The 23366-nt window shown below is 37.1% G+C and overlaps 2 protein-coding genes across 9 annotated transcripts in view; one reads left to right on the top strand and one right to left on the bottom strand.

The window, feature by feature from the left end:
* Positions 1–23366, bottom strand: part of REDIC1 (regulator of DNA class I crossover intermediates 1) — a 282118-nt gene that overhangs the window by 46272 nt on the left and 212480 nt on the right. The gene's annotated exons all lie outside the window — the stretch shown is intronic.
* Positions 1–23366, top strand: part of SLC2A13 (solute carrier family 2 member 13) — a 351057-nt gene that overhangs the window by 244053 nt on the left and 83638 nt on the right. The window contains exon 7 of one of the 8 annotated variants that reach the window (XM_011537850.4): positions 7065–10565. The exons of 6 other annotated variants lie outside the window; for them this stretch is intronic. In XM_011537850.4, coding sequence (XP_011536152.1) covers positions 7065–7083 — 19 coding nt within the window. In that variant the 3' untranslated portion in view covers positions 7084–10565. Of the gene's footprint in view, positions 1–2579; positions 2999–7064; positions 10566–23366 lie in introns of those variants that run through there. One more of the 8 variants, XM_011537849.3, reaches the window with a different exon arrangement.

The raw sequence follows: 23366 nt of genomic DNA, 5'->3' as shown, positions 1-23366 counted from the left end.
GGAAGGGAGAGCTTTTGGATAAATAGCTAATGCATGCGGGGCTTAATACCTAGGTGATGGGTTGATAGGTGCAGCAAACCACCATGGCACATGTTTACCTATGTAACAGACCTGCACGTCCTGCACATGTATCCTGGAACTTAAAATTAAATTTAAAAAAAAACACCTTTTAGATCTGCTTTTAATAGATAAAAGTGTGCACAAAGATAAAGACAGATGCAAGTTGCTATAGAAAATGTTTGGCCACCTGTATAAAAGCTGTCATAGGGTCCCAGCTGCAGCTAGAAGAAATAACGCTAGCATGAGTATCATCTGAATCATATATCTTTATGAGAGTTCACACACATATTTCTTTTTTTCACACCCATAATTCCAATATGACCTTCAGTTCCACACTCTCAAATTACTAATGTTCTATTCCTTTCATTTCCAATTCAAAATATTTTCTCATAAGAGCTAGCCAAGATTTGAGGAATCAAACCTTTCCTATGTACGCTTCCCTCAAATACTTGACGTATTATTATTTATGGTGTGATCTCAGTATATGTAAATCACTATCATAAAACATTTAAAAGTAGACAGATATTTCCTAAAGCATACAGTTGTAGAATTTCAAGGTAGCCTTGCCCTAGGGTTTTTATCTTATTCACTTATTATTTCTTCATGCATCTAAATATATTATGGATCACCTACCATAGGATTATAGTAAGGATAAATTAACATATGGAAAATGCCTTAAACAGTGCTTGGCACATAATAAGCACTCAATAAACATTACAGTCATTGTTAGAATTAATAAAGCCTGTAATAGAAGATGAAGTTGGGATGATGGCACTCAGAGAAGATTACCTTGAGAATGGGATGTTTGTACTGAGCTCTTAAAAGAAGAGTGGAGTATGTCACACAGAAAGAATGGCAGGTACAAAGATCCTGCAAGGCAGTAAGGAACGTGGCAAGTGCAAGGAACTGAAAGAAGATGACTATGGGGTCAGAGAAGATTCAGATAAGACTATTAAGACAGATCAGAGCCAAATCATGTAGAGCCTCAGAGGTTTTTGATCTTCAGTCTAAGAACGTAAATCCATGGAAGAATTTTAAGCAGGGGTGTGCCTTGACCACATTTTGAATTCTAAACTGTCTCTGGGTGGGTGTGGGTGCCACCAAGAGCATGTGTTCATGTAGGGAGACTGGTTTTTTACAGTTGTCTATGAGAGAGATGACAGTTGCCTGGATTATGGTGGTGACATTGGAGATAAGCAGGTAGACAGATTCTCAGTGTATTAGGAGAGAAAAATCAATAGGAAATTTAAAATAAATAATTAACTGTGGCCATAGGAGGAAGGAGTCTTTGGTTGGTTCTCAATTTCTGCATGAGAAAAAAGGTGGACTAAATCATAAAAATAAGATGCAGCAATTGGAAGATGTAAGACCATGCGTGCAATTTTGGACATGTGGAATCTCAGGTGTCCATGAACCAACATCAGCTGGGATATTGAATAGGTATTTGGGAAAACTGGCCCGTAGTTGGAGGAGAGTTCTAGAATGAAGAATTATTATCCATGCATGATAATTAAGTCCATAGACATGGGCAACATCTTGTTCACAACTAAGATCTTTATCAAGACTCTAGCTACCTTTGCAATTCATAATCTATTTGTAAACCACTAGTAGTTTACTAATCAATTGGGCAGTATCTCTCCATTCTTCAGGCTTTTAATCCCAGCATAGAATCATAAGCTATTCATGCTGGAAGGCCTTAAATGTAACCTAATTCAAGCCTTTCATCTTACACCTACACTTACATCTTACTTAGTTTCCTTACTGAGGTCCAAATAAGTCACACTCCTCTCCTAGGGCACACAGACTAACCACCTATTCTTTAGGCTTCTCTTGTCCCCATACAGACCTTCCTTTTTTAGCTAACACAGTTCTTTAGGAGTTATTGTTAATATGAAACCAACGACACAACAGCTTCTTTTTCTATTCCTTTCAAACCTTGCTCTTCTTGCTTTGGACCAAGGACATGGTTTTTCTGTTAAGATGACTTGTACAATTAGGTAATTCAAGGAATTTAATGATGCCTAGCATATTACCTCTTTGATACAGATCTTGCTATATTTTAGACTCTGCTTGAGTAGAAATTGACAAAAGGGACTATGCCTCTAGTTCATTATACTTTTTCTTTTTAATACTTCTCAATTAAGGCCAGACGCAATGGCTCAGGCGTGTAATCCCAGCACTTTGGGAGGCCAAGTCAGGCGGATCACCAAGGTCAGCAGTTTGAGACCAGCCCGGCCAACATGGTGAAACCCCAGCTCTACTAAAAATACAAAAAAAAATTAGCCAGGTGCGGTTGTGGGTGCCTGTAATCCCAGCTACTCGGGAAGCTGAGGCAGGAGAATCACTTGAACCCAGGAGGTAGAGGTTGCAGTGAGCTGAGATGGTGCCACTGCACTCCAGCCTGGGTGACAAGAGGGAGACTCTGTCTTAAAAAGCAAACAAACAAAAACTTCTCAATTAAGAGTCTTAACCAGGGTCATCTGCAGAGGTACTTAAAGTCACCTGTTTTCCCTTTCCAGCGGTCAGCCTCACCAGGACAGTGGCATGTTGTTTTGAAATGCTCCCCAGGTGATGCCAGTACATCTTCCATTAAGAACCACTGCCATAATGCTATCACTTTTTTTTTTTTTTTTTTCAGAAAAAAAAAAAAAACTGCCAGCTTTCTTTCTTTTTCTTTTTTTTTGGTTTTTGTTTTGTTTTGTTTTTTGCTTCTTGAACATTGTTAAACCAAGCATAAGAATATGATCAATGTGGTTCTTTTTCTGTATAGTGATAGTTTCACATTTTCCTCTTCAGATGAAGTTCCCCAAAATCCAAATTGACAAACTGTGGCTTCATCTGTAGATGGTGGTGACACTGGTTTTGTGAAACAGTATGCCCCTCATAAATTAGTCCCTTCAAAGTTCATTTCCAATAAAAATTCATTTTGTATTCACTACACTGCCTTTTCTTCTCCTTTTGCCAGCCTTGTGTTATTTAACAAACGCATCATTAACATGAGCACTGTAAGACTGTCAGATTCGATCATAAAACTTTTATGCAACCTTAGAAATGTGTAAAAACGGTCGGGCACGGTGCGTCACACCTGTAATCCCAGCACTTTGGGAGGCCAAAGCGGGTGGATCATGAGGTCAGGAGTTCGAGACCAGTCTGGCCAACATAGTGAAATTCCATCTCTACCAAAAATACAAAAAATTAGCCAAGTGTGGTGGCAGGCTCCTATAATCCCAGCTACTCGGGAGGCTGAGGCAGGAGAATCGCTTGAACCTGGGAGGCGGAGGTTGCAGTGAGCCGAGATCGTGCCATTGCACTCCAGCCCAGGCAATAGTGCAAGACTCCATCTCAAACAAACAAACAAAAAGAAATGTGTAAAAACCCTATTAGCCCCTCTTTTTTCCCCAGTATTTGACATCCTGGTAATAGTGTGTTTAGCATCAGTAATTCATAGCATCTTGACAGTGAATATAATATTATGCTGTGAATTGAAACAACTTTCCATTTGTGTTAAACATTTTTTTTTCTTACTAATTTCCTATAAAATGAATCTGTTTCAATTTTTTTGGCATGGTGGCACAAGCTAATATACCATGAGGTTACTATTAATAATGCTACAGTAGAAAACAATGTTGTATGTGTTACTAATATCTACAGACCCATTGGAGATAAAGATAAATGTACATAAGTCAATTAAAAAGGAAAATGAAAGTTGGAACAAAAAGTCCACATAAATCTCATCCTGTGACCTTATTGCCAAATAACTGCACATATCTTTTGCTAACACTTAAATAAATACCCAGTGTGCTGAATTTGACACCTGGAGAGGATTCTGTCCACCTGTCATGGAAGGATACAAGAGCTTCTTGGAGGAAGTTTGCCATTTATGGGACATATTCTTTGAGTTCGCCATAACTTTTTAATTTTGATGCCTAGGCTTTTAGCCACAGACTTACAAATCCCCCACTTGGCAAGACTTGCTACCCAAACCTTGGTTTTTTGTTTTGTTTTGTTTTCCTATAGTCAAAAAATGCTTCTTGGGAAGCCAGAAAGACAAGAAGGAGGACTCAAGATTAGGTTTGCAAAGATGAAGGAAAAGCATTTCAGGGAGAGGGAATATCAGGGAATGTGTACAGGTCCTAAGCAGGGAGTATGGCTTCTTCAAAGAATTGACCAACAAGACTGGGTCATAACGAGCAAGCAAGAGAATGGCACCAAAATAAACTGGATAGCAGGCCAATGACAGAACATCTCAGGACCTTATACACCAGGAGAATTTTGGACATTATCTTAGAATACTGAGAAGCCTTCAAAGGGTAATAGGATGAGAATGACATTATCAGATTTGTGTTTTTAAAAGATCAGTCTGGCTGCAGAGTGGAAAATTGATTACAGACAGACAAATGGTGATGAAGGGAGAAAGGTTAAAAGAACTTAGTAGCCTAGGCAAGAAATAACGCAACCTTGATGGTGACAGTGGATATAGAGAAACGAGATATTTTGGAGGGGAATGGCAAGGCTGGGTGATTAGCTGGATAATAGATGAAAATAAATGCTTTAGAAACTGGAAAATACTTAGGGCAAGAGGAATATAGGATCCGAAACCTCACTGTGGTCTACTTAGCAACATAATTTTAGGCATGTAAATCTGGAGACCCTTTCCTTTGCTCTCAAGTTAAATACAACAGTCACATAATGAGCACAGTACTTAGTATTTTCTGTAATTTATATCCTTATTTGAAAGGTAATTTTCATTCCTTCTTGAACTTAAAAGACTTCTGAGAAAGGTGTTTCTGAGGTTGTCCATTTAGGTCTGAAATAACAGAACAAGATAAAGGGGGAAAAACATGTATCTCTGATAATCCATGGGACTTATATTCTTATTCTAGAACTCTTCATTGCAGTGAACACATGAAACCAACTTGGAGTTTTATTCCTGTTTCAAGTAAATCCACTTAAAATAGCATCTGCATAAACAAATGAAATAAACTATCCAGGACTGTGACAGCAATTGACTGGAATCAGCGTCTGGTGTATTTTCTTATAATAAAGACCAAGAAAACCTTACAGAAAATATAAATATGAAACAAGGCCCCTAAAAAACTTAACTATTCTTTAATTAAGTTTGTATGAAACGAAAACAATTCAGCTATTAACACTTAAAACACTCTGGTATGTTAAGTTGGAGTATTTCCCATCATGTTGTAAAAGCACGTTACATAACCTTGCTACGTGTTCCTTGTCTGAATAGTAGGAAAATACCTATTGCTATGGACCAAATGTGGTTTATTTAAAAACAAAGCATAGGGGCTGGGCGCAGTGGCTCATGCCTGTAATCCCAGCACTTTGGGAGGCCGAGGTGGGCAAATCACGAGGTCAAGAGATCGAGACCATCCTGGCCAACACGGTGAAACCCCATCTCTACTAAAAATACAAAAATTAGCTGGGCATGGTGGCATGCGCCTGTAGTCCCAGCTACTAGGGAGGCTGAGGCAGGAGAAACGCTTGAGCCCGGGAGGCAGAGGTTACAGTGAGCCGAGATCACGCCACTGCACACCAGCCTGGCGACAGAGTGAGACTCCGTCTCAAAAAATAAAATAAAATAAATAAAATAAAGCATAGCAAAGAGGTTAAAAGAACCTCTTCAGTGAAAGTAACTTGGAAAACTATGATTTTGATTGGCTGGGTGTTTGGGTGGATGGATGGATGGATGAATGGATGGATGGATGGATGGATGCATGGATAGATGGATGAAGGGTTGCTATTGATAAGAGAAGGTAGATGGTGCTGACTAAAGGAAGTTTTTTTAGTATAATTTTCATCCTGGAACTTAGGTATATGTGGCAAAATTTGGCAACACCTTGTTGCTATCCAAGAGTTGGTGATTTAGGAAGCATCCAAGCCTTTGTTTCTTCAAAGTTTACTTCTACTCATGGCTACAGCATGATTAGCAATACCTTCTATGGGCATGCTAGTAGACCCAGCAGTTCAAGCCTGCAGGTCTCTGGGCATAAAACAGGTCACATAGTGTTTAGGCCATCCCTCAGTGACTCTTTTAGATTGTTGTGTGGTGCTAATAAGATAGTGTTTTCCTAATATTAGTAAGTAAATAAATACCAAAAAATATAGGTCACATGTCTCTTCAACTGTAACATCCAGATTGTATATTGATTAAATTAGAAGACTAGAACAATGAAATAATGTATCCTGAACAACCTGGTTTTAGTAGCTGAAAGTCTGCAATTGTGTAAGTTCTATACAGCTTAGGAAATCGAAGAATATAGTACTTTAGAAAAAACATTTATGCACATTTGTAGTTAATTATTTTAATAAACATTTTTGAAAGTTGCAGTAGGCTGGGGTATTGAGATTTAAAAACAAACAAACAACAACAAAAAAAACAGCCTTCCTCCTCATGGAGCTCACAGCTATGAGGGAGAAAAATGCAGATACGTAATTGCAAAACAGTGTAATGAAGGCTGATAGATGTATCAGAGCATGACCTGGCATAATTCATTTCCCCAGGGCCATGACAGAAGGCTTCCTACATGAGAGTCCTTAAAATTCTCATTATTTTGGATCCTTTTATAGTGTTCTTTAACTGCATAAAATAAATTTTATAAAAGTACAAAGCAACTCAATTATATTGAAATACAGGTGCCAGAATACTTTTAAAAATAAACTTGTTATATAAAAGTACAAGGCAAATCAATTATATTGAAATACAGTTGCCAGAATACTTTAAAAAATAAAGTTATTAAATAGTAATGTATGTACTTCTTTATTAACACATTAAGTAACAAATATAGCCGCAAGTCTAATACCATAGTTTCAACACCATAGTGAATGTAAATGGTATTTGGAGATTTCTGCAACTACCTTAATGGGATATGAAAATATGTGACTTCTGTTGTTGCCAGTAGTTTACTGCCTACCTTCCTAACTGAAGGAAATGCTAAATTTCAGTAAAAGGTTAATGAAATAGAGATGTAATTTTCTTTTCATCCAAGTTTACAGGCCCCATATTAAGGACCCGTCACAGAGGAGGGAGCTTGATCTGATTTTTCAATGGTGAGTTGGAGTTTCTCAGACCAATGAAAATGGAGAAGCCACCCAGGCATGACAGCGAACTGTGCAAAAGCGGAAAACAGATTTGCCCTTCAAGAAAATTATAAAGCTTGATACTGCTGGAGAAAGGGCCACCAGGCACAGGATGATGCAGAAGGAGAGGAAAGGCCTTGGATACTAGGTCAAGGCTTGAGTGAGGAAGGGAAGCCAGTCAACAGCATCAAGCAAGGAGGGTACCATGATCAAAGCTGAGCTTTACAAAGAGTTTTCTGTGTGAGTTTTGGGATATAGATTGGAGGGAGAAGAGTCTGGCAGCCCCAGAGAGAGATTGTGAGAGTCTGAGATTATCTCATGATGGTAAGCATGAAGACAAAGCTATTTTTGGAAATATTACAAATAAATGTTAAAGGCAAAGTATGAGGGAAAAGGCGTTTGGGCAGGCAGTTCAATTTTATGAATACTCAGTGCCGATTATGTGGCCCCAGCCAATATACCTAGCAGGATGGAGGGGGCATAATTCTAAGCAGGCTTTTTATTTTAAAATAATAATAGTTTCTGTTAACTAAGCTCTTACAATATTCAAGTATTATTCATATTCTTTTTGAATATTACCTATTACCCTTAAACTTTCCTGAGGAAGATACTGTTATTATTATTATTATTATCCAATTTTACAGATAAGAAAACTAAGGATCAGACGGATTATATCATTTGCCTAAAGTGATGTAACTGGTATGTTGCAGAGCCATTTTGTTCTGTCCACCTGCCTCCCTTAGTCAAGCTAATGGCCTTTATTTTTTTTTTTGCTTATGTCAATACTATCCAAAGCCTGTGAATATTGTAGGAAATGCTAAGTATCAGTTACCCAAGAAGCAAAGAGAAGAGTTTTAAGCCCCTCATATTGAAGGGCTAGGTATTTAAACACTAGGATTTTATTTTAACAAAATACTGCCCTGAAAATCAAGTACCAAATGATGAAAATCACTAAAACAAGAGTTTTTAATGAAATTTTACCCTCACTACACATGCCATTTAATTGAACTAACATAAAACTCTTTCAGAGGTATTTAGTGGCCAAAGTTCCTTATGTAACATAAATGAAATTCTGGGTTGCTGCACAGATTCCTAAACAGATATAGATTATGGGATTATTTTCTTTAAATTTACTTCTGATCACTTCACCTTCTCAGCAACCCAGATACTGGCAAAGTGGAAGATAGCTTGATGAAACACCAGGCTGTAGCAGTCTGACTAAAGCTTTTACAGATTTCTAGGAAAATTACTTAACAAAAAAAAAAAGAAAGAAAGAAAAGGAAGGAAGGAAGGAAGAAAGGAAGGAAAAAGAGAAAGAAAGAAAGAAAAGAAAAGAAAGGAGAAAAAAATGTTGCCCAGCTTAGAAGTGAGAGGACTAGGTTTCCAAATCCCTGCTTTAAGACCTTGTCACAATTAGGAGCAATTCCCTTTTTTTCTCCCAGGCTTATTTTTGATTTTTTTTTTAAAGAGTGTTAGAATTTTGGGGACCCTGAGAAATCTGTCATAAAGATAGTATATCATAACCACTGTTATCTTTCCAAAGTATTGCCAAACAGCACTTAGATCACCCACAGTGGTTCAGCCTTCTGCTAGTAAGATGAGATGCCTTTATTTTCCACAAAGGATATCAAGCCCTGAACCCCACCCAGAGAGCAAAGAAGACACAGAGGTAGTTGCTTGCAAGTCAACACCATTCTTTGTGAGCGTAACTAGGCAATGGCTTTGTTACTGGTGGAGGATCTTGAATATGAGTTGTCCAGGTTCTTGGCGTTTTGAGCAAAGAATTGGACAAAACATACAAACAAAGCAATGAAGGAATGAAACAACAAAAGCACAGATTTACTGAAACAAAAGTAAACTCCACAGAATGGGAGCAGACTCAAGCAAGCGACTCAAGAGCATTGGTTACAGAATTTTCTGGGTTTAAATACTCTCTAGAGGTTTCCCATTGGCTATTTAGTTTACACCCTATGTGAATGAAGGAGTGGCCCACAACCAGTCTAATTCGTCTCGGAAGGCTACCAATCAGAGGCTGATGTTACAAAGTTATACCGCTATGCAAATGAAGACGAGGTCACAACCAATCTGATTGGTTTCAGGAGAGGACCAATCAGAGGTACTTTCCATTTTTCATCTGCAATGCAGAAAGGGTGGAGGTTACAAAGGGAGTAGCCTCTGATCCTTTTGTTCCTTGAGCGTGGAAAGTTGGGGTTTTCCTTTTGATTTAGTTCTAGAAGTCAGCATGAATCAGCCTTAGGTTCCCTGCCTCCAGACCCTATTCTTCTTCTTCACCTAGATATTCTAACCTTTTGTTACCTTCCAAGAAAAAATGATTGGTACTAGCAATGGGCAGCCACAGGTTTGTTATCTTCTGTGAGTCATGATCAATGAACAAGTCCTCTTTATTCTCTAAGCAATGCTAAAACACTAAGCAAACCAGTAATTTCTTGACAGATTTGTCACAGGAATTTTGTAAGCACTTTACATTTGTTACACTGTAGAAAGTACATGTGGATTTTAGTCTTACAACTGATTACAGTCATAATTTGTGTGGCAGTGTTTAGACAACTTTAGGCCCATAAAGGGAAATCTGACCAGCATTTCTCAGAACAATACCAGAGACGGGTCCATCTTTATTTCTCCCTTATGGACTCAGTTTGAAAACACGGATTCATGTGACTGGATGTCTGATCAAGATGCTGTTATTTACCATGCTAGTTATTTTATACAAACCTCATAACAAGCAGTATTAGATAATTAGAAATCACTTTATGCATCTTAACCTTACCCAGCCTCACACACACCTGTGTTTTAGTCCTTTCTAAACCACAAATCCCCTGCAACTGAAAATGATTCCATAACATTTTCCAACATTGCATTGTTCTGTGATGATAGGGTATAAAAGATATATAAGACATTGTTCCCATCCTCAGAGAAGTTTCAGTTTGTACAAAAGAAATACACACAATTGCCTATTATTTATATTTTAGCACAAGGGAAAATAATCTCATTTTTAAAAATTCTTGACACAGGGAAATAGATGGAAAATAAATTTTGAAAACTTATTTTTAAACCATGTAGGAGTACTTAATTTGCAGTGATCAATGACTCAAAGCTCAGCATGTCTTAAATATTCCATATTGCTAAGCAGCTGATAATACAAATCCATCCTTCATTCCGCTGCTTTTCTCTTGATGTATCTAGCATAATTGGTGTTTTCCTATGTGTGTATCTGAATTGCATATTTCACAGTTACTGTAGAAACCTATTACTCCTTGGCATTTAGCATGGATGATAATGTTGCTCCTTCAGTAATTTTAGCCTAGACCAAACATTTTTGAAATGGTGTTGTACATTAGGGCCATCTTGCTTATAGATTAATAAAATCACTAACCTTTACACTAAAAAAAGTGCACTGCTCATTTTTAATAATTATCAATATATAAAGTTATTGTCAGTTAAGAGTCAGAATGCATTTTTTAATTCTCATTCTTCCTTTTGTTTTTCTTCAGCCTAATATGATTTTTATGTCATAAATCCATTCTCATTAGTCTTCACAAACAGAAAAGTTATTTCATAAGAAGAACTGAGTAGCGTTTTTCTAATTTGTCCATTTTGGAAACAAATGAAATATTTATTTTAACTGATTAGTGTTTCTATAAACATTTAACTTTGGCTGGACACGGTGACTCATGCCTGTAATCTCAGCACTTTGTGAGGCCAAGGCAGGTGGATCATCTGAGGTCGGGAGTTCGAGACCAGCCTGGCCAACATAGTGAAACCCCATCTCTACTAAAGATACAAAAATTAGCTGGATGTGGTGGCGCACACCTGTAATCCCAGCTACTCAGGAGGCTGAGGCAAGAGAATTGCTTGAACCCAGGAGGTAGAGGTTGCAGTGAGCTGAAATCGCACCACTGCACTGCAGCCTAGGCAACAAAGCAAGACTCCATCTCAAAAAAAAAAAAAAATTAACTTTGTGGGGCCTAAATATTCAGCTCTTCCTGATATTTCATTTTTATCATTGTAAAATGGATACATTATTATGGCGATAGATATCTTCACAAAAATTCCGTGTGATATAATAAACATTTGAAATTGAATATAGTTATTCACTTCCTAAAACAACAAATCTTGGCCTGTGTAATCAAATTTGGCAAGAATATATTATCATCCTTATTCATATATGTTTTACAATTATGTGTTGTGCTATAGCTAAACACATAAGTAAATATCAATAAATGAATGTGTAAATTTTTGGCAATTACCGTATACTAATGTTGGCACAGATACAATTATTGTTAACTTTATTTTCATGTTCATATAACTTAAGTGTGTATGTTTTGGCTTGCTATATATGACTAGAGTAAAATTCAGAAACCTAAGCATCCTAAGTTAGTATTATTGCTTGTTATAGCTGGAATTTCAGTGTATACTAAAGTGATCTTCTTTTCTTATGCAAACTAACAATGAGTGCCATGGCTCAGTTCAACTGCAGAGCAATTACAAGAGGAGTTAATGCTATACTTTCTTTATATTTATCTTTTTAATATCCGGAGGCTGCCTTATTTTACTTAATACCTAGATTGTTGAAAAATATATCAATACAATAGAAAAACTCATAATTTTTAAAACTCACTCATCTAATTATGCATTAAAGTACTAACTCCTTTTCGGTTCCAGTAGCTACTTATGGACAAATCCACTGACTCCTTTATTATTGTGGAAGGCTTCCCAAGGCTGAGGAGAAAGGAGTTGGTTGGAGTCAAGCAGGCCAAAGCAGGGAACATGACATTGCAGAAAGAGGGATAGCATGTGTGCAGAAGAAAGAGAGAGCTTAACTACAATTTGAGTTGCCTTTTCAAGAAAAATGAGGAAAGACACAGAATCCATAGATTTTAAACCATAGGATTAAAGTAAAATTATATACACTAATAACAAAAACAGAAGAAGAAACAATATTACCCTGAAAGAGTATTTTAAAAAACAACAACAGAGCTTTGAAATCTCACCAGAAAAAAAAGAAGGGAGTAGCCATATAATGCAAAAAGTAAGGTAGGATTTTTATGACCTTGAAATATTAAAGCCTTAAAAGACAGAGACAACAAATTGAACAAATACTAGAAAAGGCTAAGAAATCTACACATAAATGAAACTCAAATAAACATGAATCTATGAGATTCCAAGAGAGACAAACTTGGTAATTATCCTGTCAGAGAGAAATTGGAGCAACAGAAATTGTAGCACTAAACAAAGAAGCTTAACTGCTCAGTTACTCTATAAGGAAGAGTCACAAAGGAACAATTTACCACCTCAGTCAGAGAAGCACTGAGTTAAGATAGAGGCAGTCATGAGCACCTCAATAAACAGCCTCACAAAGCAAAACAACCTTGACAAGCTAGAAAAGTCATCATCCTTGACATTACTGAGCTTCTGTCTCACAAATAAGAGGCAGGGGTCAGCCATTCTTCAGTGGGTGAGATTAATGGGATGAAGCATTAACTCTGAGACTTTTAGGTCACCTTTCATGCTGTCCAAGTAACTTGGAGGAACCAGTGTGCTCGCTAAATGCTGCATTCACCAATGCACATTGAGTCACTGGGAGAATCAGCATTACCAATTTGCAATCATATATATACAGATACTGTTAGGGACTCTTTCCCACTTGTTTTTCTTTTTTTGAATTTTTTTTTAAATCTTTATTTTAGGTTTTGTGGTACATGTGAAGGTTTGTTATATAGACAAACATGTCACAGGGGCTTGTTGTACATATTATTACATCTCCCAGGTATTAAGCTCAGTACCCAATAGTTATCTTTTTTGTTCCTCTCCCTCCTCCCACCCTCCCTGCTCAAGTAGACCCCAGTGTCTGTTGTTTCCTTCTTTGTGTTCATAAGTTCTTATCATTTAGCTCCCACTTATAAGTGAGACCATGTGGTATTTGGTTTTCTGTTCCTGTGTTAGTTTGCTAAGGATGATAGCCTCCAGCTCCATCCATGTTCCTGCAAAAGATGTGATCTCGTCCTTTTTTATGGATGCATAATATTCCCTGGTGTATATGTACCACATTTTCTTTATCCAGTCTTTCATTGAAGGGCATTTATGTTGAGTCCATGTCTTTGCTATTGTGGATAGTGGTACAATGAACATTCCCATGCATGTGTCTTTATGGTAGAATGCTTTACATTCCTCTGCATATATACCTAGAAATGGGAGCTGGGTCAAATGGTAGTTCTGCTTTTAGCTCTTTGAGGAATTGCCATACTGCTTTCCACAATGGGTGAATTAGTTTACACTCCTACCAACAGTATATTAGCATTCCCTTTTCTCCACAACCTCACCAGCATCTGTTATTTTTTAACTTTTTAATAATAGCCATTCTGACTGGTGTGAGATGGTTTCTCATTGTGGTTTTGATTTGCATTTCTCTAATGATTAGTGATATGGAATTTTTTTCATATGCTCCTTGGCTGCACGTATGTCATCTTTTGAGAGGTGTCTGTTCATGTCCTTTGTCCACTTTTTAATGGGGTTGTTTTTCTTTTGTAAATTTGCTAAGTTCCTTATAAATGCTGGATATTAGACCTTTGTCAGATGCATAGTTTGTAAATGTTTTTTCACATTCTGTAGGTTGTCTGTTTACTCTGTTGATAGTTTCTTTTGCTGTGTGCAAGCTTTTAGGTTTAATTAGATCCCACTTGTCAATTTTTGTTTTTGTTGCAATTGGTTTTGGTATCTTTGTCATGAAATCTTTACCTGTTCTTAGGTCCAGGATGGTATTGCCTAGGTTGTCTTCCAGGGTTTTCAGAGCTTTGACTTTCCCACTTTTCATTCTTTCATTTGGCACACATTACTGAATGCTAACCATGCACCAGGTACTGCATTTGTGCCAGGTGTTAAGGAAACAAAGCATGAGATATAGCCTCTCATCAGAAGTAGGAAATATCTTAGGTTTTTATTTACATTTTGAACCCGTACACAAGTATATATTTAGAGAGATGTTGGAGACTTGGGTAGACTTGCTTTTTCAGAATATATTCAAAAATAAGCCAAAATATTTTTTAAGCATTTGAAAAAAATACTTGTACCACTTGGAATCATGGTAGGCTGTATATTACAGAAGAACCCAAAATAACAGTGGCTTAAGCAAGGAAGAAGTCTTTCTCTCTCTCTGTCATGTGAAATAAACTCAAGGGTAAGGAGTTGGGGACCAATGTGCTACATCTAGTATCATCAGGCATCCAGGCTCCTATCCTTTTACTGTACCCATACAAATGTCTTTCATAAGTTCACCACATGGGCCAGGGTGGCTGCAGGAGTTCTACCAGCATAGCATTCCTGTGAAGCAAGCCAGAAGGAAAGGCAGAAAGAGCAGCTCTTCCCAGCTGAATCAGCTCCCTTTGAAGTCTTCCTGAAATCCCATGCAATACTTCTCATTGGACAGAATTAATCCCTTGGCCATATCTAGTTGTAATGTGAACTGGGAAATGTATTCTTTTGTCTAGCAGTCGGGAGGAGGGAGGTGGAGCCACAATGTGCCCAGTTAGGAATCACATTTCTCTTAAAAAGGAGGAGGGAAGAATGAATGTAGGGATAGGCCACTAGCAATCTTTGCTACAACAGTACAGCTAGGGGATATGTTAATTTTATGAGACATTTATGAGTGGTTCTGCTTGACAGCAGGAAGTACAAATCAATGGACCAAATAGGGATTCACCTACTTTCACGATTTAGTTCTCTCTGTGCTCATTAGAAGTCTAAAGTCAACTTTGCAGGTGACAAGAAATGTGGTTGTCTTAAATATTTAACTCTAGCTTTGCAAAGTAAAAGGAATCATTAATATCTCTTTCATTTGTCCTGTTTCCTTGGCCTTTGAAACCAGTGAAACAGCTACCTTTTGTTGTGTTTGTTCAAAATGAGTGATCTGAACAAATGAGTGATTTCCTTATCTTTTCAAAAAGAATGGTCACAGTATCTGCCATTTATTATATAGTTAACATTGTGTGGATCACTTTACTAAGAGCTTTGCATGGATTCTCTTTTATCCTTCAGAAAGACTGAGATAGATGCTATTATTTTCCCCATTTTACCAGTGACACTGAGGCTTAAACAAATTAAGTGAGGCTGGGCATTGTGGCTCATGCCTATAATCCCAGCATTTTAGGAGGCCGAGGCCAGTGGATCTTTTGAGCCTAGGAGTTCAAGAGCAGCCTGGGCAACGTGGCAAAATCCCATTTCTCCAAAAATACAAAAAATTAGCCACACATGTTGGTATGTGCCTGTAGACTCAGCTACTCAGGAGGCTGAGGCAGGAGGAACACTTGAGCCTGGAAGGCAGAAGTTGAAGTAACCTGAGATTGCACCACTGCACCCACCCTGGGTGACAGAGTGAGATGCTGTCTAAAAATAAAAATGAAGAAGTTAAGTGAATTTTAGAAGATCATATGGTTTAGCGGACAGCAGAACCATGCTTTAACTGAGAAAGATCTTTCTCTAGAATTCAGCCCTTAACCACTACCCTCTTCATTTTGAAATTTACCAATTAAAATGTGATGCTCCTATTGTCCAAGGGAGGGTGTAATGTACCCTTTGGGAGTGGACAGTAATTCCTTATGGTCAAAGGTGAATAATACCTATAAAATACCTATGTTGATATACTTTAAAGTATTCACCACCTTGGTTTTTCTAGAGCAGAACAATGATCTTATCTATATGGTTCTGAATGTGAGCATAGTTGAATATTCTAAGATGAATTGTTGATTTTATTTTGTTTTGTTTGGGCAATTGTTTTTAAGGCCTCTGTTACACAGGTAGATGAACATGAGAAAAATCATTGAAGACAAGAAGCAAATACAGATGAGCACTTACAAAGTAATACCCTTTAGGCAAATTGGAGTATATCTGTACAATCATATGAGAAAATGAAGTCCATTTTGAAAGCTGTTCTTTTCTAAGCCTCCTCCTTTAGTTAGTGAGATGAATTATCCATGTGAACCTGAATTTTCCTTGAAGAAAAGGACCACTGTGTGCTAACATTGGTATTTTGACCCACCCCAACACCACTTCCCTAATTCCTATTGGTTTCATTCACCTTGATTTAATTTTATGAAATTTTGTCAGTACAGTAGGGTCTAGTTGTGAGAGCAAATGATTACACAGAGTTGCTGGCATCAGAGGACATGATGCTATCTAGGGGGATGCCTTCAAGCTATCTCATTTCGTCTGTGTCACACAACACAACTTCCAACCAAATGTCATTCTGGGGCTCCAGGGGCTGATTGTTTCTTTCACCCTTCAGTAAAAACTCACTTTGTCCTCCACATTCACACATATAGTTTTTCATGAAAATCAGAAAACCTTCTAACCAACTATGCAAGAACTGAGAAGGAAAGCACTGTAAGTTAAAATGTGTTTCTTCCTTTGATTATGTTGTCCCTGTTTGAAACACTTATAATATGATAAGCCTAATGCCAAGTGTTATAGTGTTTGACAAAAAATGTAAAACAGATTTGGTTACCAAGGTTCTTTCTTGGTGCATAGGAAGATACTTGGGTAACAGATACAGAATCATTAATTACTGAAGCAAAATAGCACAAATGGGTCCCAAAAAGAGAGTCAATTTTAAGAAGTATTTCCTCAGATGCAGAAAAAATATAGAGTGCTCACTTTAAAATAACCTAACCTATATTTTATATCAACATAAAGAAAATATATTAAAGGCAACGTGACTGCCCATCACAAAGAATGCAGATACTAGATATTCAAATTTCAAGTTGTGATACCCCAAACAGTAAAAAGTAATTAGTTTTGGATAAAAGTTCTTATTTCTAAATTTATAACTTATAAATTATTTTTAACTTTATCAAGTGGTCACTTTAATTTTTCTTTTTATTTTAAAAGTCATGAATTTCCATTAGTCCATATTAAAAACTGCATAGTCTCTTAAATTCAATTGATCTAAAAATGAGTATTTCTAAAGCGTATTCTGTTGGAGACAGAATCCTTGTAATATTTCAAGCAAAAATTAACTACTTAAGAAACTAAGTAAATTTTTCTTTCTTTAGGTATTTCTTTATCTTTATTTTAATTTGTCAGATGAGGGAAGAATATAATTTCCAAAATCCATGAAAAGCTCAGACTGAGTTGAGTAGAGACCCCACTTGCTTCTTTCAGTCCACTTGAAGTAGCATTGAAAGCTGAGTGTATGACTATAAATCCAGTTGTGTTTAAATGAGTTTGATCTTCATGGATACTAAATACAAAACACTTTAGTCACAGATACCTCACTTTCTTGATTAATTATTTATATTTTATATGTTATGAATGCTTTCTTTTCTAAAAAGAACACTGAGTTGCTTTTGAACTTTTATTTTCGAACTCTGAAAAGTTTATACTAAAAATTAGGGAATATTTATGGGTATGCTACTAGGTATGGAAGGATATTTATGAGCCTCTTAGTATAAGAACTTTATCGTTACATTTTAAAATAGTACAATTCTAATTAAAGAATATGTACCTCAGTGCAGTGCTTACATTAAACTTTGACTCCATAGCTGTTACTATGACCCTAAACTGTGAAGTTAAAGGACTGTCTATCTACCCTATGCCTTGAAATTTTTAAAAGTTCTCAATAAGTAGAAAAGCTAGTGTTAGGAGTACTATTTAGAAATCAGCACCTGTTATCAGGTAACACAACTAGTTAACTATATTGGAAGGAGGCATGTGTGTTGCACAGCTTTTTAGGGACACATCAATGTTTATACAAATATGAAGAGAGAAAGTAAGGCTTATGTAAAGGAGTTTTCAGACAGTAATGATGAGCCCCAAGCAAAACTGTGTTCTTACCTTATTTTTATTTATCCTTTTTGGTAAAGCTCTATGACCTACGTGTGGAGTGTGTCACCAATATAATGATCAGTTTGTAATGCTTTGGGGGGAAAAAAGCATACTGATAACTTAAGACATGTGCCAGTAATCATATACTATAGCTCAGAACCAGGATGATATAGAAATAAGTTGAGCTGGTATAGCAGCCAGGATAGGATAGGCATTACTAATATTAAAAAACAATAACAAAATCTTTGTGGTTTAAAGCAACAAACAACTCTGCTTATATCTCAGATATCCAAAGTAATAGAGCCTCCACCATTCTGGGATGCCACCTCTCACTTCAAGGCTTCAAGATTTATCACAGAGGTGAAGCATAGAGCTGGAGAGTTGAGCACTAGCAATAAATGCTTTGGCCTACAACTATTATTTCATACTCTCATTGTATGGCCACATCTAGTCACTTGGCTACCCCTAACTTCATATAAGGAATTGTATTATAATTCTCTATCTACCTTGAAATGGAGGGCAAGTAGATATTGGTGAACATTATTTATATCTTTCACAATGTATTTGCTGATTTATTTGGGGCCAAGATTCCCTATTATTCTTTCTGCAAAAGGCCATATAAAATTTTCATTCTGCTGGCTGGATCACTACTGTAAGAAGTATTAATGACAGATAGGCTTGTCTTAGAAAACATCTTCTCCTTTGGTGATGCCCATTAAAAATGATAAAATTCTTCAATTAACAATTTCTAGCACTGATTTGGAAAACCTGACTCATTCTGTACCAGTATCATTGGTCAAAGATCAAGTACGAAAAAGTGTGCACAAACGAGTCTGTCAGTTTTTCAGAAAGTTAATATAAATATCATATGTATAGTTATATGACCCAGCAATTCCACCCTTGGGCATATACCCAAGAGAACTGAAAGCACGTATCTACTCAAAATCTTCTACACAAATGTTCATAGCAACAGTTTTTTTTATAAAACAGCGAAAAAACGTAGAAATAACCCAAATACCCCATCAGCTGACAAATAGATACATGAAGTGTGATATATCCTACAGTGGAATATTGTATAACTGTAAAAAACATGAACTACTGACAAATGCTATAATATGGCTGAACCACAAAAACATGCTGGGTGAAAGAGGCCAGAAACAACAGAGCACATTGTATAATTACATTGATATAAAATGTCCAGAATAGCAAATCCATAGAGACAAAGAGTAGATTCGTGGTTGCCAGGGGGTGATGAAAAGTGGGAATTGGGAAGTAAAGGATTTATTCTTGAGCAATGAAAATGTTCCGGAATTGGATAGTGGTGATGCTTGTAGAACTCTGAATTATTGAAATTTACTAAACTGCAAGCTTTAACATTGTTAAAATGGTAAATTTTATATGAATTTTATCTCAGTAAAAAATTTTTAAAAATATGTGCTATAGTGAGTGATCACCACTTTTCCACGTAGAACTTTCTGCCTCCATTTTACTGGGGAGTGTAACCATTGCCTCCTACTGTATCTTCACAAGACAATACAAGTTTCCAAATCTATCAGAGTGTCACATGTTAGTCACTATGCTGATCAGTTTTCTCAATGGCATAACTTTACATTTCAACAAACTAAAGGCTGAGTAGAAAAAATATCTGATTTGAAGTCAGAGAACCTTTATTAGAGACATGAGCAAGTCTCTTAGCTTTCCAAGCTTTGTTTTCTTCATCTGTGAAACAGGAATGCTCCTGCATACTTCACCAGGATACCGGAAAAGACCAGATGGTACAATATATGTTAAAGTACTTTCTGTATTTCTAATCTGGTCTTCTACTTTTAGTTTTAGCTTATTTTCTTTATATTGTTCAGCCTGCTTTCCTTTAAATAAACTTCCTGTAAAAATCTGAACATTGGAAGTCAACATCCTTAGGTTGGAACCCCAGCTCTGCCACATTTCAGTTATGTGACCTTGCTTAGGTAGTTGAACCTCTGTAAATCTGAGGTTTTTCTGTAAAAAGGGAAATAAAAAGCCTCCCTCATGATGCCAATGTAAGAATTAAATGAGAACATGTAATTATTTAGTATAGCCTCTTTGCATGGTAAACTGTCTGTGATATTAGCACAATAAGGCTCATGATAAAATTCACCCTCAAAAATCTTCATAGCTACAAATACTAGTCGACTTACTTGGTCTGTTTGCAAACCTAAGAATTTCAGTCTCTTAAGTATTCCTTCTAATTTTTCTATTCTGTCTCTTCAATAATGAATAATGTATATTGTCACCAGAGAAGATTAGTTACTGTTTTTTTCTCTGAAAAAAGCATGTTGCACACTAATTAGATTATATTTGTATGTGTTGATTATATACAAATTATATGCAAATCTGATTTTACTCTGAAAAGTATCAAGACTGAAAAAGTTATTTATACATGTATGTATATATATTATGCACACATTTATTTACCTATATACACATATGTATATGTATATAGATATACATTTATATACATGTTATCTTACACATGCAAAATTACAATTGAGGTTTTTAACTATGTTGATCAAACATTCATTCAGTGTAACAGAAAAACACTTAACCCCCACTGGAGTTGACAGATTTGGCAAATACAGCTCTCTTTTTCTTCCTTCTCCATTAGAGAGTTCATTGGTGCATTTTGTTCAGATGAAATGCAAGAACCAACCCAATAATTCATTAAAAGGATTAGACAATCAGTTGCTAGAAATTCCGGCCTAAAATACCAATATATGTTAAATCGCAAAAGCAAAGAAAAACCATTCTGGCTACTAGGCTAAATTGCTGCCTTTAACAGTGCTAGAGCCAAATGCTCAATCTGGGCAGGAGCCTGGTTGCTTTTAAACAGTAGACCTCACTACTATAAAATTTTTTGCATCTAACTCAGGAGTCAGTTGAATCTTAGCCTCAACGTGTAAGGGGAAGAGGTGAGAAATATGACTCTTTTACAGAGTTCCAGATGGTCATGTATGGATTTGGTCTGAGAGCCGTGAATTGTAAGGAACAATTCATGGTGTGATTCAAGCTTCAATCTTGTTATCTTCATGGACTGAAATGGAGAACGAGGTGTCTGATGGAACTACAGAGAAAGGGAACTACCAAATCTTCTATCAATATAAGTGACATTCATTCATCTCATTACTTACTCAACAGGTATTTATTGAGCACTTATGTATCAGGCAACATGGAAATCTCTAGGAATAAAAGCTGTACAGGGTCTTGAGAAGGTCACAATGCAGTAAGGGAAAGCAAACACAGCATGAAGCTGTTAAGAAATCATGGAATGCATGATAATAATATGAGCGTTTTGTGATACTCTGACAGTATAGTGATGCCTCTGATTCTGCTGGGGTCAGGAAGTTGCATAGAGGAACATGAGTCTTGAAGCAAAGGAAGTATAGGAAAGATAAGGTGGAAAGTAACATCCAGAGAAAACAATATGAGGAAAAGCATGAGAGCATGTCATATTCTAAATCCTGCAGTCTCTTTGGACTGGCTAGCACCCACGGCACCTATGGAGAAATGGCAAGTAGAGACAGGCAAGATGGGCAGGGGCTAAATGATGCCATAAAAGGAGTATGATTTTCATCCTATAGGCAATGGGAAGCTCTTTAGGATTTAAAAAGCAGAGAAATCTGATCAGGTTAGATTTGAGGCAGTGTAGAGAGTGGAGTGGACAGAGTCTAGAAGCAGGCCCCTTTAGAAGACTATTGGAAGAGCCCAGCTGAGAGATGGCTGGGATAAGAATGGAGAGTACAAGGCTGGGCGTGGTGGCTGGCCAACATGGTGAAACCCCAACTCTACTAATAATACAAAAATTAGCCAGGCATGGTTGCACGTGCCTGTAATCCCAGCTACTCAGGAAGCTGAGGCAGGAAAATCGCTTAAACCCAGGAGGCGGAGGTTGCAGTGAGCCAAGATCACACCATTGCACTCCAGCCTGGGTGACAGAGTGAGACTCTGTCTCAAAAACAAAACAAAACAAAAAAAAAGAATGGAGAGTACAGGAACTATACATGCTTGAGACATAGAATTGATAGAACTGGTAGCTATTTAAATATGAATGTTCTGCAATCATGCTCAGGTTTTTAGATTGGGAGACACAAAAGGAACAATAGGTTTGGCAAGAAAGCCAAAGATTGAGCTTTAGGTTGTTGAGTTTGAGACACTTGGAAAACATCCAGATAACTGGGCAATTGGAAGTGTAGTTCTGGCACTTAGAGAAGAGAAACAAAGGAAAGAAAGAGGTCATGGGGGCTCAGTGTATTGGTTATAGCAATGGTCATGTAAAGTTGATATTTCCCAGCAAAGCAATGAAAGTAGATGGCCCAGAACAGAAGCAAAGGAGAAAGAAAAGATGAAGATGCCACTATCTGAGAGGTGGGAGAAACAAAGGGAATAGTGTCAAGCAGCACAAGGGATGAGAACATTGTAGGAAAGAGGGAAAATTTTTAGAAAATCTTATCACCAAATGATAATAGTATGTTGGAAAAGTGCTCCGAGTTACCCATGAGACAACCACCAGCAATCTCTGGGAGAGCAGCTTTAATAGAGTGGAGAGGATAATTTGCTTCATGAAATTAGTACCAGTAGGCCCCTAGCCTTTTAAACTTGTTTCCAACTATTTACTCACGTGTCTAAGATTTTTTTTTATTCTCATGAGTTTCCTACTTACATGGTTAAACAGGGAGAGGAAATCAACCGACATCTATGCTCTGGCAGGGAAAGAAGGCAGGTGTTCCAGAGTTGTTTTCAGTACTGATATAGGAATCTGTCCTTCACGAGGCTCCAAGCAAGGCATGGAGTCGCTGTCCCGACTGGTAGTGGCGGTGTTCTCTGGTAAACCAGATTCCAAGTCACCTGCTGAAGCTGGTGAGAGCAGTGAGGAAGGGGATAGTAGAGTATGGAAGTTTGGGAATAGCTGTTAGGGGAAAGAGAGTGACATTATTGCACAAAATAGGTGTCAATTCATGCATAAAGAAGGAGTGAGTGAGCACAATTACCTGCAGAAAATGAAATTGGACCTGTGGCCATGGATCATTCCTACATCTGTGTTTGCCACCATTGATTTTCTGAAATTTAGGGCATTCTAGAGACAGGCATTTTAAGATCAAACACTGTTCTTAGTGCTCCATCTCATTGAGTTTAATGAGACATACTTAAAAACAAATGGACCGTTTTGCAGAGGGCTGAGTTCACACCCAGCTTCACAGAGTAGAAACTAAAAATGTTCTAAATTAACTCAAATCAATTTTTAAAAGATTTTCTGAGCTGAGAGCACATTTGGCCAAGACCCTGGGTGCCACGTGAAACATATAAACGATTGATTGAATGAAAATAGGCCATCCTTTCTC

This window comes from Homo sapiens, chromosome 12 (assembly GCF_000001405.40).
Source record: "Homo sapiens chromosome 12, GRCh38.p14 Primary Assembly".
NCBI lineage: Eukaryota > Metazoa > Chordata > Mammalia > Primates > Hominidae > Homo > Homo sapiens.
Note: the sequence above shows the minus strand (reverse complement) of the source record. Positions and strands in the feature narration are given on the sequence as shown.